Source organism: Homo sapiens, chromosome 12, assembly GCF_000001405.40.
Source record: "Homo sapiens chromosome 12, GRCh38.p14 Primary Assembly".
Taxonomy (NCBI): Eukaryota; Metazoa; Chordata; class Mammalia; order Primates; family Hominidae; genus Homo; species Homo sapiens.
In genome coordinates, this window is record NC_000012.12 from 64,091,535 (window position 1) to 64,108,339 (window position 16,805).

General features: G+C 36.6%; 1 protein-coding gene and 1 long non-coding RNA gene across 5 annotated transcripts in view; one reads left to right on the forward strand and one right to left on the reverse strand.

Moving 5' to 3' along the window:
- The window catches only part of SRGAP1 (SLIT-ROBO Rho GTPase activating protein 1), a 317,518-nt gene that overhangs the window by 246,835 nt on the left and 53,878 nt on the right, over window positions 1–16,805 (forward strand). The window contains exons 12-15 of one of the 4 annotated variants that reach the window (NM_001346201.2): window positions 359–392; window positions 3,398–3,458; window positions 3,593–3,670; window positions 5,707–5,841. In NM_001346201.2, the coding sequence (NP_001333130.1) occupies window positions 359–392; window positions 3,398–3,458; window positions 3,593–3,670; window positions 5,707–5,841 (308 nt within the window). The other 3 variants (NM_020762.4, XM_024449096.2, XM_024449097.2) reach the window with 3 other exon arrangements.
- The window catches only part of LOC105369798 (uncharacterized), a 31,313-nt gene continuing 22,393 nt past the window's right edge, over window positions 7,886–16,805 (reverse strand). The window contains exon 2 of the long non-coding RNA XR_945018.2: window positions 7,886–8,109. This is a non-coding gene — a long non-coding RNA (uncharacterized LOC105369798). The remainder of the gene's footprint in view (window positions 8,110–16,805) is intronic.

The window sequence follows — 16,805 nt, forward strand, 5'->3', positions numbered from 1 at the left end:
AAAGAATATTTGGGTCGAGTGCCTTCAGAAGAGAGAATAAATGTGAGTATTATTATGTGGGCATAAAAGAAAGCCCTCTTTCTTTATTTTTTTAAAAAGAGCCATAATTTGTACAGAAAGTTAAAAAGCAACCTGATAAAAATGTTGTATTTTTACTCATGCAAATGAGATGGCACAAAATATTCTTTAAAGTCTGCTTGTTAGGATAGCTCTGAAACACAGCAGGAGTTTTGATTTCCCATGACTTGAGGAATTCATTATATTGAATGAATTGTAAGACTATGATCTATACCTTGTACCTCTGCTGTGTTTACTCTTCGTCTTCTTTTTCATCCTGTATTTCTGATAATGCTTCTAGCCGAGGACGAAGAAACTCGCACACAAGACATCAGGTATAGTGCTAGAGGGACGTGAGGGTGCTCTTTCACTGTTGGTATCATTTTCAAGTCGTGCTCATGCTTGGCTTTAATTAGATTGTTAAGGTTTTTAAAAGAAAAATGTTTGCATTTGGAAATCAGACAAGTTTATAAATAGGTTTTACTTAGAAACTGTAGCAATCAAACACTAGAGGAAAAATGGGCACATTAAACTATTAGTTTTTACATTATGTGTTTGGCAAATGTATCAAGTTTGATCAAGGGCTTTATTAGGGAAAGTCAATGTTAAATACCAAATACACATTTAATACTGGATTATGGACCCTAGTGTGAATTTTACAAAAAAGAAAAGGGCTTGCTTTCTCCTTTGTAGTTCACATTTTATGGCATGGGCTGCGGTGTTTCTGCAAACTAAGTTTATCTGAGAAACCATGTCATTAATAACCTCCCTTAATGATATATTACAGACGTCTTACTTTCTTAGGTCTGTTTATTGAATATGTGTACTAATAATTAAATAAATGTGCATGTGGCATGTATAAGGACATACATACATATATACATACATACATACATACATACATACATACATATGTACATAGATTAAAAACCTCTGGCAGCCTTAAAAATCAGCCCTACTCTGGAATTAAGTGGAAAGCCACTGAAGAACCTAAATAGCAGTTACAGATCTACTGCCTTAAGCCTTAAATCCAGAAGAACCTTATTGGCTCTAATTTAATATAAAATTATTGTCAAATTTGATTACCTATTTTCCCAGCCCCTGGCTTATAAGCAGGGACAAATTATATGGAGAGAGAGGAACGATAAAATGAAAGCAATGAGATATGCAGCTGATGGCCTGGCAGAGAAAGAGAATATAGAAAAGCTGCAAGAAGCAGACGTAGGATTCTGTTGTATTTGATAATACAGTACGAGAATGGCTGCTTAAGATGATAGAAAAGCACATATTACATATTTTTTCAATTTTTCATTAAGAGCAGTTAAATGAAAGTAAATTGAGGTACCAAAGAATAAATAAACCAGCTATCATGGAAAATTCACTTATAGGAGCTCTTCACAGCCCAGATGGCACATTGAAGAATCTTTGGTAATAGAAACAATACAGAGGGCTCCTTTCCACTTCTAAAAAGGGCTTGATCACTTGCAATCTCCACAATGTCACTGTGAAGACAGCAAGAGCAAAACCATTTTTTCTCTTTTTTCTCTTGGGAAAACCGACACCAAGGGATTAGTTTGAATGATAGATGGAATGCACCCCCATTGTTCTTATAAAATATTTTCTTATGTTTTCTACCCATGCATCTGAAATCTGTAAAATTAAATTAAATTAAATCACATATACTCATTACTTTTTGACTACAAAATTAATTATATCTGAATGAAATACTGATCATAGCTTTTTTAAAAAGCAATTAGTAAATGTAAACACAAAAACATTTTTTAAAAATATGAAAACCGAAGACATTTTTTATTGAGAACTTTCTTAGTGCAAACATTTTCCTTTTCATAACCTTGTATTCTTTGCTTTTCTTTTTAATACTAAATTCAGCAGAGATGTAAACTAATGATCTCTTTTTATCACTTACATTTAAAAATATGTTGCTTTCAGATTAGTGTTCCATGAATTGTTCGTATAGTTTACTTCCCCTAAAACACTTATATCTTAAAGAAAAATCCTTTCACATATTCAGTAAGTTATGATGTAATTACATTGCTGTTCCTGAGCCAACTAGTCCACACTAAAATGCGTTTTTATTCTTAAGACTCTTCTTTAAGAAATTAATAAAATTTGTGCTCCTAAAACAAATTAACTAATTAGAAAAACTTAATACAGTCTCCAGAAGTAATTGAGCCATTAACTGGTTTATACACTGATTAGATTGTGTTAAAACCTAAAATAAGACAATTCCTTAAGAAGTATAATACCCATTCCAGGAATAGTAAAGCGTTTAAATTGCTGAACTGCATTATTCTTAATCCTTCCCCCACTGCTTAATTGGAAAGGTTAATGGATTCTGAATTGTTCTAATATATTAAGACAACCAACTTTTTCTTGCATTTCAAAATAAAATTCCTCACGAATTAATACCTGATGTCAGCTAACCATTTTCGAGCCCTGTGGTTTTGTTTTTTTGGCTTTCTTTTTAAAAAAGATCTAATTCCTGAAAAAGCAGAGTCTTAAAAACACATGAAAAATAATTCTGTAGTCAGTAACCTTCTTTAACTTCATGGAGTACATGGCATTGGTACATATTTAACTGTGGCCTCAGCAGCCCTTCATCTCATTTGTCATCCTATACATGTTTTAAAACACTGCCACGGTTTACATTTGTTCAGTAGAAGGCAGTGACTGTTTTACAAGATGTGGGGAAAGAAGGCCCAAAAATGTTCCTTTCTAAAAAAACAAATCTGCGATATACAGTTGTGCCATTTTTTTCTTATTCCTTAAAATATGACAATGTATGAATGAAAAATCTGTAAGTTCTGATGCAAACTAAGTAAATACATGTTTTAATTATCTCTGTAACAATTCTCATATTATGCATCTATAGATATATAGATATGGAAGCCCTTTTATGACTTGTCATCTAGGTGATGCACTCTCAGGGATGTCAGAGAGAGAATCCTGAGATGGCTGAAAGGTTGTCTTTCATGATGAATATAGCGAATCAAACTGAAGATGCTATGATTATAATACACAGAGTTCTTTTTAAGTCCATTAAAGATTGGTCACTTGTATAAATAAGCTTTTAAAAATGAGTTATTCACATATTCATTTTGGTATGTAAGTCTTAATATAAGAAAAGAGATGAATTAGGTTTTGACATCTCTAGGCACAGCAAAGTAAGTTGAAACAGAATTGCCTTAAATGTATTTAACTTGGTTTGCTCCAGAACTGCAAAAATCCCTCTTTAATTACTGTTAAACTCTAAGCCTTATTATTATGAGGCATTTATACCTCTCCCTTGAGGTTAACTGGTTTCCATCCCTTTACCCAGGACTCAGGACAGGTTATTCCCCTCATTGTGGAAAGCTGTATTCGGTTCATCAATCTCTATGGTAAGCCATAAACTACAGAATTCTTATTTTTTAAAAAATCACTTGAAGTGTTTCAGTAAATTTACTTCCTGGGAAAAGAGGGACCTAGACAATGTGATGGGGGTTTTATCCTCTTTCCCTTCTTTTCTCTTTAGGTCTTCAGCATCAGGGGATTTTCAGAGTGTCTGGTTCCCAGGTGGAAGTCAATGATATTAAAAATTCATTTGAGAGAGGTAATTGCACGTCTATCCCTATAAGCAAACCACGTTGAAAAGTCATCATGTTCTGTAAACTGAAGTGGCACCCTTATTCTGTATATCCTCAAAACCTTTCTTTGTATGTACTGCATTAGGGGTGCAGCAGTAAGAATCCATTAAGAATCGCTGAGAAATGGTACCAAAACTATAAGCCCTTGTTATTAAAATTAGAAAAGCATATGAGCTCTGCATCCTGGTTGAGGACTGACATTGATAATCGGTGCCAGGTATAGCAAATGTGGGGCCGAAAGAGTTCTGGAAGAGTGGCCAGGGCAGCCCTGGGCCTAGACAGCAGGTGAGGGAGGCAGCTCCTCCCTGCTGCCCAGCTCCTCCCTTTGTCGGGAGCTCTTCCCTTTTTCTTCTCACGGTCCACAGACTCCTTCCCTGTGACCCTAGGGGGTGCCTTATGCTTGTTCATAATTGGCTGTCAAATAAGTTCTACTAAACTGGGTCATATGCCATATACATTATCTTTTTTCAATGTCAATACTTTTTTCCCTTAATTTTTTATTTTTAACTATTATGGGTACGTAATAGTGTTATGTATTAATAGGGTATATATGATGTTTTAACCCAGGCATACAGTGTGTAATGATCAAATCAGGGTAACTGGGATATCCATCACCTGAAGCACATATCATTTCCTTATGTTAGAAACATTCCAATTAGCACATTATAATTAGCAAAGCTGCACACTTTCGTGTCAGGCAGACCTAGAATCATATCAGACTCTCAGCCACTAATCAATCATGTGATACGGGTCAAGTCGCTCAATTCCTATTTGGCCTCGATTTCCTCACCTGCAAAACTGTAAAAATTGATGGTTAGAGCAGAGCAGCCACATGTGCCAAGTCTCATGCATTGGCCATCTTCAGGGTAAGCTGAAATATGGTAAAGTATCAGGTTCTGTGCTAGCCACCACAGGCAAAATACATGATCATTTTTCCTTGGAAATTTTCCCAGTATTTGTTATTTGTTTGTGATCTGCTTGGGTGAGGCTTTCTCACAGTGGGCAAAAATAATAGTAATTATTATATTCTGATAAATTCATGTTCAGTGATTTCTTGCCCTAGGAACAGAGAAAAGAGAACAACAGATCCCTAAAAATAAATTGCCCTAAGAAGCAAAAAAATACGTTAAAATGCAATGCACACTTTTTGTGAACTTTAGAAGAGAAGCATAAAACTGTAAATAAAAAACAGAATTTGATTTAAGGTTGTATTTTATGTTGAACTTCTTAAGGATTTTATCTCTAGAGGAACAATAACCAGACTTGTTGCCTAATAATTTAATTTAGTTCTCAGAAAGAAACGCTCACCAGACTAGTTGCCTAATATTTTAAAGTTGTTTACCATAAAAAAAATAATTTTATATTTGTGATATATTTTTTAAATTCCCACTTTTTATACAAACTCCTTGGTAACATGAAAGGTACATTTTCAAGTTCCTCTATCTGATTTTAGAGTCTGCCTCTGCTCAAGACAGCCTTCAGATGTGCTGTGAACACCACCATGCCACTTTGGGAAATACCTACTTATTTAATTGTAGGTGTTCACAATTCAGTGGCACCTATGACATTTCTGATAAATTTTGCTGACCCATATAGCATAGTCAGACAGACCTATGGTGTGTCTTTTTCCCAGTAGGGTAAGAAACACAGGATGTAGTGTTTGAATTCATGTCAAACTAAGATTACAGATTTCAGCTTAAAAAAAGTGGGGGTTGGGTAAAATTATAAATTCCACAATATTTTATTTTAAGATTTGAGTAACTTGTAAGGGATTATTTAGTAGCATAAGATTTTAAAAGCTTTATTTTAGTCAACTGTTTTTAGGTTAATCATGGGGTGGGATATCTAAACCAATTATTTTAATTTTAGTACCATATAATCTTTCATAAAGCATAATTAAAAGATACATGTATATATAGCAACGTGTATGTTCATAGAAATATATTTTTGTTCAGAGAAAAAGAAGCACTGTTAATGTAATGAGTTTTTTTTTTTTTTTTAGGTGAAAATCCTTTGGCTGATGACCAGAGTAACCATGATATTAACTCAGTTGCTGGCGTTCTGAAGCTCTATTTCCGTGGGCTGGAAAACCCCCTCTTTCCTAAGGAAAGATTTAACGATCTGATTTCTTGTATCAGTAAGTGGACATTTTTTTCATCTTTTCCCACAAGAATTATTTCACTAGCTAACTTCCTGGAAAAGGCAGTGGCCCCCCTCCATACACCCCCACCCCCATTACCCCATTACCACCATATTTCTGGGACCATTTGTTTTCTTTCTGGATCCAGTGCGAGTCATCCTCCCAGCTGTGGCCTCACCCTCGGCTGAGTGGGCTTTCCTCCTGAACATCCTCTGGCTCCAGAAAGCCAGGAGCTTCCCACTCATGGCTGGAATTGAGCAGAAAGCCAGGTGCCAGCTGCCTAAGGGAAAGGAGGAAGTTGTAAGCTGGGAAATGTGACCTTTTCTTGGCTTTTGATTCTTGGTTTTTCTCAACCAATTTTAGGAGTGGGGTAATTTATCCATCTTTCAATGTTATTTCAAGAAATGGATAAAATGAAATCAAAGATCCTTATTACAGTGCAGGAACACCAGGTGGTAATTATCTGTCAGTGGGCAACCCAAGCTAATAGGCAGAGTTGCTCTGGGATTGTGTATGACATATTATGAAACCGATAATCATTGGCAAAGTAAAGCATTGCTGTTTACTTCAGTGGGGGCTTTTTGACACTATACAAAGGAAGGTGAAAATAATGATACCATGAATTAATTATTAGCCACAATCAAGATCCATGCATCTAAAAATACAGTGTCCCTTTTAAGTCCGAGTTCCCAGCAAGAGTCTAGAGCTGACTTCAATCACTTAGGCTTCATAAGAATCAACTTTTTACTCTTAATAAAGAAATCTCCGTACAGTCCCTCCACCCCCCATCTGAATCAACAAGTCCTATTGATCTGCCCTCAAAAAAAACATCTCACTACTCATCCCTCCTTCCCCATCCCCATCACCTTGGTTTCTCACTGGGGATAGTTAGAGTGTCTTAAATGGACTCTACTTCTAGATTTTGCCTTCTTTTCCCAACCCCTACCCCCTGGCCCTGCATTCTCACACTGCAGCTAGAGTTAAAAAAAAAAAAAAAACTGGGTTGCTTGCTTTCTCCCCTTTTTAAAACCTATTTCAATATAAAAGCAAACTCCCCAAGGTGGGCTTATTGCTTGGTCTCCATTAGTTTGAGACCAGCCTGGGCAACATGGCAAAACCCCATCTCTACTAAAAATAAAAAATTAGCCAGGCATGGTGGCATGCACCTGGATTCCCAGCTTCTTGGGAGGCTGAAGCAGGAGGATCACTTGAGTCTGGCAGGCAGAGATTGCAGTGAGCCAAGATCGTGCCACTGCACTCCAGCCTCGGTGACAGAGCAAGACTCTGTCTCAAAAAAAAATAAAAAAATAAAAAAGCTAACTCCATGGCATGGCCAATTCATATAATTGAATTATTCCTCTCTCTGATCTCTGCTACTGCTGCACAGCCCTCTCCTGCTACCCTACCATATTTACTGTATATTTCAGCAGTAGCAGACTGTACATATGCTGGGCCATTTCCCACCTCCATCCACTTGCCTATGCTGTTTCCTCAGCTGTCCATGATAACCATTCAACATCTGCTGTGAAGGCTTTGCCAAATTGGCATTCCTCCCACAACTCTGTCCTCCCCACCACTCCAACCAGGATTAATCACTTTCTCCTCTCCCATTATTCTATTGGGTACGTATGTCCAGAATTTTTCTGATCTCCCCGCATTATAATTTTTTTAACCCCTCTGTCTCCTACTACTAGAAAATGAGTTTAGGCAGTAGGTTAAGAATAGAGGCTCTGGATTCAAAGAGCCTACTTCAGATCCTAGCTCTGTCACATACTCATCAGCTGTGTGACCTTAGTCAGGTTTCTTAAGCTCTCTGCATCTCAGTTTCCTCACCTATAAAATAGGGGGAACATTAATCCTTACATCATAGGGTTGTGAGAATTTAGTGAGTTAATATGTGTAAAATGCCAAGAAGAGTGCCTGGCACAGAATATGCTCAATGGAGTGCCCACAGTTAGCTCCACAGGCTTGTGGAGTAGTTTTGCAGCCCTAACATTTGTCCACTCCCGAAGGTTAGGAATTAGTTAATTCCTGGAGCATGTTAAGTTAAATAGAATTTATAGATGAAATGAATTGAAAAGTCAAGATTCCACCACGAGTTCTTTGTCTGGCATCAGTGCCTAGAGTCTTGGCTCCAGTTGGGTATGAATTTCCCGGTCATAATCCTCCCCAGTCTGATGTCCCATTGGAATTTAGAAGTACAGCTGCACGTCCATTCCACGGCCCTTGCGTAGCCTGAGTCATCACAATGAACCTCTGACCCAGCTGGAAAGAAATGAAAAGGAGGTGTTTCACTTCTGGAATTCTCCTTTGGCCATGTCCAAAGATTTCCCTCACATCCTAGCCAAAAAGCTTAAGTCTGGAAAAATAACAAGTGCTGTACAATGCTTAGTGGTTTTCTAGGTCCATACATCATGTCAGCTGTAACATGTACATGTACCAATTGGATAAAGAGTGTTGGGCCACATTGTCAGTTACCATTATAGAATCATTTCACACTTTTATTGGATGAAAAATATCATTTCATAGTGGTTTTTAATAACTGAGGCCATAGAGTCAGAAAGATCTAGGTTCAAATCCTAGCTTTACCACTTTCCAACTTTGTATAAACTTGGGCAAAGATTAATACTTAATCTTATTAAATAGCTGTTTCTTCACCTACTTCATAGAGTCTATGTGAAGAATAAATGAGACAGTCCATGTAAAGGGTTTCACATCATGCCTGGCACATAGTAACCCTCAGTAAGTGTTGCAAGCTGTCATCATTACTACTATTACAATTACTCTGACTATAAACTGTGGTCACATATGCCAATACCTGGGTTGGCCACTTATCAATCTGTCTGTTCTGCTAAGTATGTGTTTCTTTGGCATAATTAACTCACGTGAATTTAGAAATATTTGTGTTATCCTCAAGTTACATTGTTTCCAGCATGATTTTTCCCAGCACATTAAATACCTTGTAGCAATCAATGTCAAGCTTTCTCACAATTAGAGTCATATTTAGCAAATATGTAAACTACAAGGAAAAAATCTATGGAGATATCTCATGTAAGGGTACCTACAGTGCTCAAGTGCAAGTGAAGAAGCTACAATGACATTCCCTCCTGTATTAAAACAATGGATTAATCAAAATCAATGGATTCATAATCCTTGGATTTTAATAGGATTGTTAATGTTTTCATTAGTGCAGTAGTTACAAAGTTTCATAAATGTTGAGTAGTCTGCCCCAATCCTATTTTTCCCCATAAGTCTTGTTACTTTTAGTGCAAAGTTTTACAGAATGGCAGGTGTTTCAAAAACATACATATTGACACTAACAACCTCTTTATAGAACAACCCCTTTTCCTCCAACATGTAACCTCTTAAGAAAGAGAGGATTCTTGGATGTTATTATCTCTAAGCAAGCATTTTTTTCTTACCAATGTGACCATAATGCATTTTTCCTGGATTTTCCTGCATTTTTCCTGGATTTTCAATAAATCCTTTGAGTAGCATAATACATCTTTTATCATTGTATCCCCTTATCAATATTGCAGACTTTTGACGATTTGAACCAAGTTGATTAATAGTCTACAATGTATAAAACTGTCTAGGGATTCAGAGACTTGATTCTTGCATTTAAGAGGCTTAAAATGTAGTAGGAAAGGTAAGATATTTACAAATAAATGCAGGCTAAGTTAATATATGATAGAAACAAAGATTTTGAAATTTTAGAGGAAAGAGAGATCTGAGTGATAGATTGTTTTTACCCCTGTCATCTTGTAGCATTGCTGTAATTGGGTTTGATTTTCCCCATTAAAGTAATTTCACATGACAGTTATTTTGTATAGAAAAACTTCCCTTTTCATCTTTTCTAAGAGTTTGCATAAGGCACTGTAGCACCCACTACTTTTCGCTTCCGTATTTTTGGATTGTTTGGGGAAAGGGGTGTGTGTGTGTGTGTGTGTGTGTGTGTGTGTGTGTGTGTGTGATGAGTAGTTATCCAGCCATGTTTATGCTTTATGACCCTGAGTGACCACGTTCTTTGGAAGCTTACAAATATATGTAGTCAAAGGAAATTTATCTTAGCATTCTTTTTTTAAAAATATGCACTATTTGTTCCCCAATTTATTGTACATTTCTTTTTAAAGATTATTTATCTGGATGAAGACATAGTAAAACCAAATGCAACATAAATTTGAAGTGGCAAACTTGGTAGTTTCTCAGTTTCTCACCCAAGAGTTATTTTGTTTTGTTTTGTTTTGTTTTAACCATCCACTTTGTGAGTGGTTTTGTCAATGCTCCAGGTCATACCCACAAAGTCTGGGCAGCTTGTAGAATATCCCTGCATCATGGCTCTGAGATTTCCTAGGGCATAAGTTCAAGTGACTTGCCCTAGAAAAGCCACTCAAGTAATTCATGTTTTTTTTTCTGACTGCCTTAAGGCTGTGAGCCCAGATGAAACTTTTTCATTCCATTTTACATTAGGTGTTATTATTTAGGTGACTACTTGGATATGAGGAAACGGTTTCTTAAGGGAGAATTTTTCTTCCTATCACAAAACCAACATGTAGTTATTGTAGAGTACCTGAAAAATGCACAAAAGCACATAGAACAAAATATTGTCAACCAAAATTCCATAATTCCACTACCCAAAGAGAATCACTGGCATGTACACATTTTGTTTACAACAAACAACAACAAATACTATGTTTCATGTTAATATACAACATAACCACAATACCATTATCATACCCTTAAAACCAACAATAATTCCTTAAATCATCGAATGAGTAGTCAATGCTTTATTTATTAGGTTGGTGCAAAAGTTATTGCGGCTTTTGCCATTACTTTTAGTGGCAAAAAACACGATTAGTTTTGCACCAACCTAATGTTATGCAATTAACATGTTATCACTGTAGAAAAATTATAAACTAAGAACAAATCGTAATTTCTCTACACAGAGATAGTGATAACGTTTTTAGTATCTTTCCAGAGTTTTTCTACAGTACCTATGTACTTTGTAAAGCAGCTTTATTGAGATATAATTCTCATACTCTACAATTCATCCATTAAAGAGTACAGGCCAGTGGTTTTTAGTATAGTCACAGAATTATGCAACCATCACCACAATCAATTATAGTACATTTTTATTACCCCCAAAAGAAACCCCAGTTAGCAAACATTGGCAATTACTCCCCGTTTACTCATAACCACCACCACCCCCGGCCCTAGGCAATCACTAATCTACTTTCCGTCTCTATAGATTTGCCTGTTCTGGCCGTTTCATATGAATAGAATTATACAGTATGTTGTCCTTTGTGATTGGCTTTCACTTAGCATAATGTTTTCAAGGATCATCCATGTTACAGTAGGTATCAGTACTTCATTCTTTTTGATTGCCAAAAAATCCATTTTGTGGGTACACACTCCTATGTACTTTTCATAAAAATTATATCGTACCAAGTGACCACTAATGGATAAGAGGTTTGTTTTTGAAGTGATGAAAATGCTCTAAAATGATTGAGGTGATCTTGTACAACTCTGAGTGTACTAAAAATCATTGTTAAACTGTGTAAATGGGTAAATTATATGGTATATTAGTTATATCTCAATAAAGCTGTTGTTAAAAAAATTGTTTTTGAGACAGGCTCTCACTCTGTTGTCCAGGCTGGATTGCAGTGGCGTGATCACAGCTCACTGCAACCTCCTAGGCTAAAGTGATCCTCCCCCCTCAGCCTCCCAAGTAGCTGGGACCACAGGCGTGCACCACCACACCCAGCTAATTTTTGTATTTTTTTGGTAGAGACAGGGTTTCACAACATTGCCCAGGCTGGTCTTGAACTCCTGGACTCAAGCAATACACCCTCCTCGCCCTCCCAAAGTGCTAGAATTAAGGTGTGAGCCACTGTGCCCGGCCAAGCTGTTGTAAAAAATTATGCCACGCCATACTGGCTCTTCATAAACCACTTTTTTAAAACTCAATAATATTATTTTCAAAATATAGCTTTTAGTGACCCTATAATGATTTCTATTTTATGTAACAAATCCCCTAGTTTAGACATTTAGATTGTTTCCAGTGATTTTGCAACTATACCAAAATACTATGATGAGCTTCTTAGTACCTAAATTTATTTGCCTTTTCTGATTATTTCATGAAAAAAGCTTTTGAACTCTTTTTCTGGTGCTCAATATATGTTTTTGCTATAAAAATTTCTTTCAGCTTTATTGACATACATGGTAGTTTTCTCTCTGAATTCTAAATTTCTGTTTGATGCCTTATAATAATGTTCTTAATTTTTCCTTTATCCTTAAAAATATTTAATAGGCTGAGTATCTGAACTGAGTAGGTAAAGCTCTCTAGGCTAAGACTCAGTTTCTTTACTAACCTCAATATGATAATTCAGCAGAATAGGAAACATCTATGTATGTATTTCTATAGTGCTGTTATTTAGGAGAGAAATCAATGGTTTAATTCACAGAAGTCAGTCTGTTAAACAATTATATACAAAGGTTTGATTAACACCTTGACATTGTTAGTGTGAACCTAAAAATGTCCTGAAACTGATACATTCATCTTGAATGCCAGCTGTTAGGCTATGGAACTCACAAGTATGTGTGTACCCACTGTTAAATAAACGGTTTCTAAATGTGGCTGCCAAGGAATTTCCTTCCCTGTCTTCATACCTAAGGAGAAATTTGCATCTTGTGATTTATTATTCATTTTCTGGCAAACAAATACTTCTACAAATAGTCCACAGAAGAACCAGTATTTTCAGAGTGATGACCATTTGAACTTTTTGCCATTTGCTGAAGTAACTTGTGTTTTATGGTAAATTTTTCACATGCATTTACATGGAGCTATCTAACCCGCCTGCTGGGAAGTTGGGACGCTAACATGAGAATCTTGCATTGCTGGGAAAAAAACATATATTAGCCCAGGGAGCTTTGAGCATGTGATCAAGGTTGGATGAATGCCACTTTTACCTAATTACATGAGACCTTGAATTGTGGAAAACAAAGCCCAGCTTACAAGAAATCCAAGTGAAATACTGATTTTCCCCACTGACAACTTTTCTGAGGGGAAGAAAAGACCCATCTTTCCCTCCAGCATGAAATTGTGAAATTTGCCACACTCAGAGCCAGCTAGGAACACACATTCATCAGGGTGTCAGCAGCAACCATAAATTTTGCCCACTAACTGGACTCAGGACAGTAAATGAGTCATTTGTACCAGAGCGAAGCTCCTGTAGGATACACATTGCGCGCCTGTTGAGCAGCCAGCCAGGTAGAATTGGGAGTCCTGCTCGCAGCCATCACGGTTAGAGGCCTTCGAGACGAACAGATTTGCTACTACTTCAGGAATGCCAGCAGTTCTGTTTTGCTTTGATTTGTGTTGACTGTAGTTAAAGAGAATGTACATCTGCCTCATATAACTTTATCTAGTTTTTTTAGTGTCACTTATGTCCTTGTTGCTTTTCCCCTGAAGTCTTTCATTTGCATCCCACAGGCCCCCTCATTCTTTTATTGTGGTAAAAATATATATATATATAAAAAATATAAAATTTACCATGTTAACGATTTTTAAGTGTACAGTTCGGTGGCATTAAGTACATTCACAATTATCACCACTATCCATTTCTAGAACTTTTTCATCTTCTCAAACAGAAACTCGGTACTCATCAAACAATAACTCCCCATCCTCCTGCACCTCCGCCCCAGGCCCTGGCTTTATCTCTTCTGCTTTCTGTCTCTATGCATTTGCCTATTCCAGGTACCTAACATAAGTGGAATCATATAATACTTGTTCTTTTGGTGACTGGCTTCAGTTAGCATAGTGTCCTCAAGCCTCATGCATGTTGCAGCATGTGTCAGAAATGTTTTTCTTTTTAAGGCTGAATAATACTGCATTGTGTGTGCATACCACATTTTGTTTATCCACTCATCTGTCGATGAACATTTAGGTTGTCTCTACCTTTTGGTTATTATGAATAATGCTACTCTGAAACTGCTGTACAAATATTTGTTCCCTCAATTCTTATTAAATAAAATTTTAAAACTGCCTTTAAGAGGTAGAGGGACTAAGTTTAGAACCAAGAGATAGAAACAAGAAGATCTTGAATTAAGATTAAACTTCTTGAGGCCGGGGATGGTGGCTCATACCTGTAATCCCAGCACTTCGGGAGGCTGAGGCAGGCAGATCACTTGAGGCCAGGAGTTTGAGACCAACCTGGACAACGTGGCAAAATCCCCTCTCTACTAAAAATACAAAAATTAGTCAGGCATGGTGGTGGGTGCTCCTAATCCCAGCTACCTGGGAGCCTGAGGTATCAGAATCACTTGAACCTGGGAGGCAGAGGTTGCAGTTAGCTGACATCACCCCACTGCACTCCAGCCTGGATGACAGAGTAAGACTCTGTCTCAAAAACAACAACAACAACAAAATCTCTTGGAATTAATGCCTATGTCCTGTAGTTACAGAGAATGTAGCCTCCAGAGTGACTTGCTGTCTATGGGATTTGACAAATATTAAAGATGAATAATATAGTAAGAGTGGTTCTTTTTACATCCTTTCCTTTCCTTTTGTTTTTAACTCTAGGACTTTAAAACTAGCGTTAAGCTACAAAACTCCTGTCCCTGATAGTTGACCTTAACTTTATGATTATTAATTGTTTTAGAGACAATGTATTCCTCTGTTGCCCAGACTAGAATGTGGTGGTGTGATCATAGCTCACTGGAGCTTCGAACTCCTGGGCTCAAGCAATTCTCTTACCTTAGCCTCGACCTTAACTTTAAAATGAGGATTTGCTGGGAGAATGAGGAAACTTCACTTTTGAAACACCCAAGATTCTCAATAAACAGCGGGAGAAGTTTTATTGTTGTCTTAAGAATAAATCATAATATGTATAATTTCGCTTTTGAAGAGTTTTTTCTTTTTCATTTTTAGAGATAGACTTTCTAGATACAGGTATGCTAAATCATCTTTGTCTTCTTTAAAGCAGCAACAACATTACACTTTTTATAAAATCAGCTATTTTAGGTAATAAGCATTCAACCAGTTAATTTCTGATATGAGATAATAATGCAGCTGTGTTGAAATAGTATTTAAAGATACAGAATTCCCATTAAATTCTCAATGACTTGCAAATTACTTCATGTTTAGGCATTTCATCTTCCCTCTCTGTACAATGTGGTTTTGCACATATCACATGAAGTTGTCATGGAGATAAACAGCTTACTCTGGGACATGTCTTGATCCTACCAGGACCAAACTGGGTGGAAATGTTGATAACTTAATTATTGAGTTATTGTGGCCTGAGAGAATTTATACACCTGTTGAATAACTTCTTTTTTAAGCATCTTATTCCCTCTTTTCAGGGAAAAATAAATCAAGACCATTGCCTGGGAAGTATGTTAACAAAGTGCTTGTATGCAATAGACGTAACCCTAATCTGCCTTGTTCATAGCGTTATATTTTCTCCATTTTGAAATATTTTACAAATAAAAAAGGCAAAATGTAGTATATTCAATTCAGTATTACTAAGATCACACTATTATAAATTATAGATTTATATTGAAAGAATAAAAATGAAAGAATGAGAATGTTAATTGCATGATAATGTTTTACTTACATTCTGGTTCAAGAGTTTCTGAAATTGCATTTGCTAAAAGATGACAGAGCTACGGTTCCAACTTTGGCATACTTAAAGGTGGGAATGGAAGTGGTTTTTTCTCAGGAATCCTGATAAATTATTGCTTGTTTTGTCAGCTCATTCTTGGTTAATCAAGAATATTCCTAATAGATTTTTCGTACCTTTTCAGCTATGCAAAAGGGAAAATAGAATGCCCAGTTTGATAATAAGTGGAAAACAGCTGGGGTCAGCACTCAAGATTCCAGGGAAATAAGCTTAGCAAGAGTAATTAAGACAGTGGTTCTCAACCCTGGCTGCATAAAAGAATCTCAGGCATCAGCATTTTTAATCTCCCCAAGTGAATCCAAGTCAAGGTTGAGAACCACTGATACAAGAGGAATCGGAAAGGGAAACTGAGTTAGGAGAGTATTTTGATAGTCTAAGTTAGAAATAATCAAGACTTCAGTTAGAAAATTAGCAGTGAGATATCTAGAAGTAGAAACTACAGGACTTCTTTCCCATTCAAGGGAGAAAAATGAAGCAAGGATATCATCTTAGAAGTGATGTTTGTAACCTTGCAACTGGATGAGGTTGCCATTGAGGAGAACCAGGTAGATATCTTTGAGAGTTATCCACATTTATAGGTGGAAGAAGGTTTAAAAAACAACAATAATAATGAGAATGAGTTGACTATGGTGTCAGAGGCTATGGACTGAGAATTTTCAAGTATTTTCATGAATATCTCAAGCAATTAAGAACAATATGGTGATATAAAAGTATAGGAAGCTTCAGAACTGTTTTCAAACATAATACTTTTTTGGAAATATTTTCTCAAATGTATGCTTATTGGGTATCTTCAAAGTTGTACTTTGTAAAGGTACAGCTTTACAAAGTGGTAGTCTTGGGATCCAAGAAAGGCAACCAGACTTATGAAACAGAAAACAGACTTGTGAAACAGACTTATGAAACAGGACACATAGGTTGCAGTCCCAGGTCTGCCTCTTCTAGCCCGCTGACCTTGGGTATGCCACTTGCCCAGTTCTCATTTTCCTAATCTGATAAATGGGGATGACAGTGTGTGCCCTGCCTACTGCAAAGTTTATTATTCCTTTTAACTTAGATAGCAAGTGTGAAAATGTGTTTTTAAATATATAGAGAATTATACAAATAATGTGTTGTAGTAGTAACCTTTTTGCTGATGTTCACAAGCACTTTAGTATTCAGACACTTTAGACAGTTTGTATTCCTGGTAAAGAGGTAGCATAACACTAGTCTCAGGTAATCCTGTCTTGGGGGAGCTCACCATCCCACAGGGAAGACGAGATAAGGAAATAAATAGCTATAAAC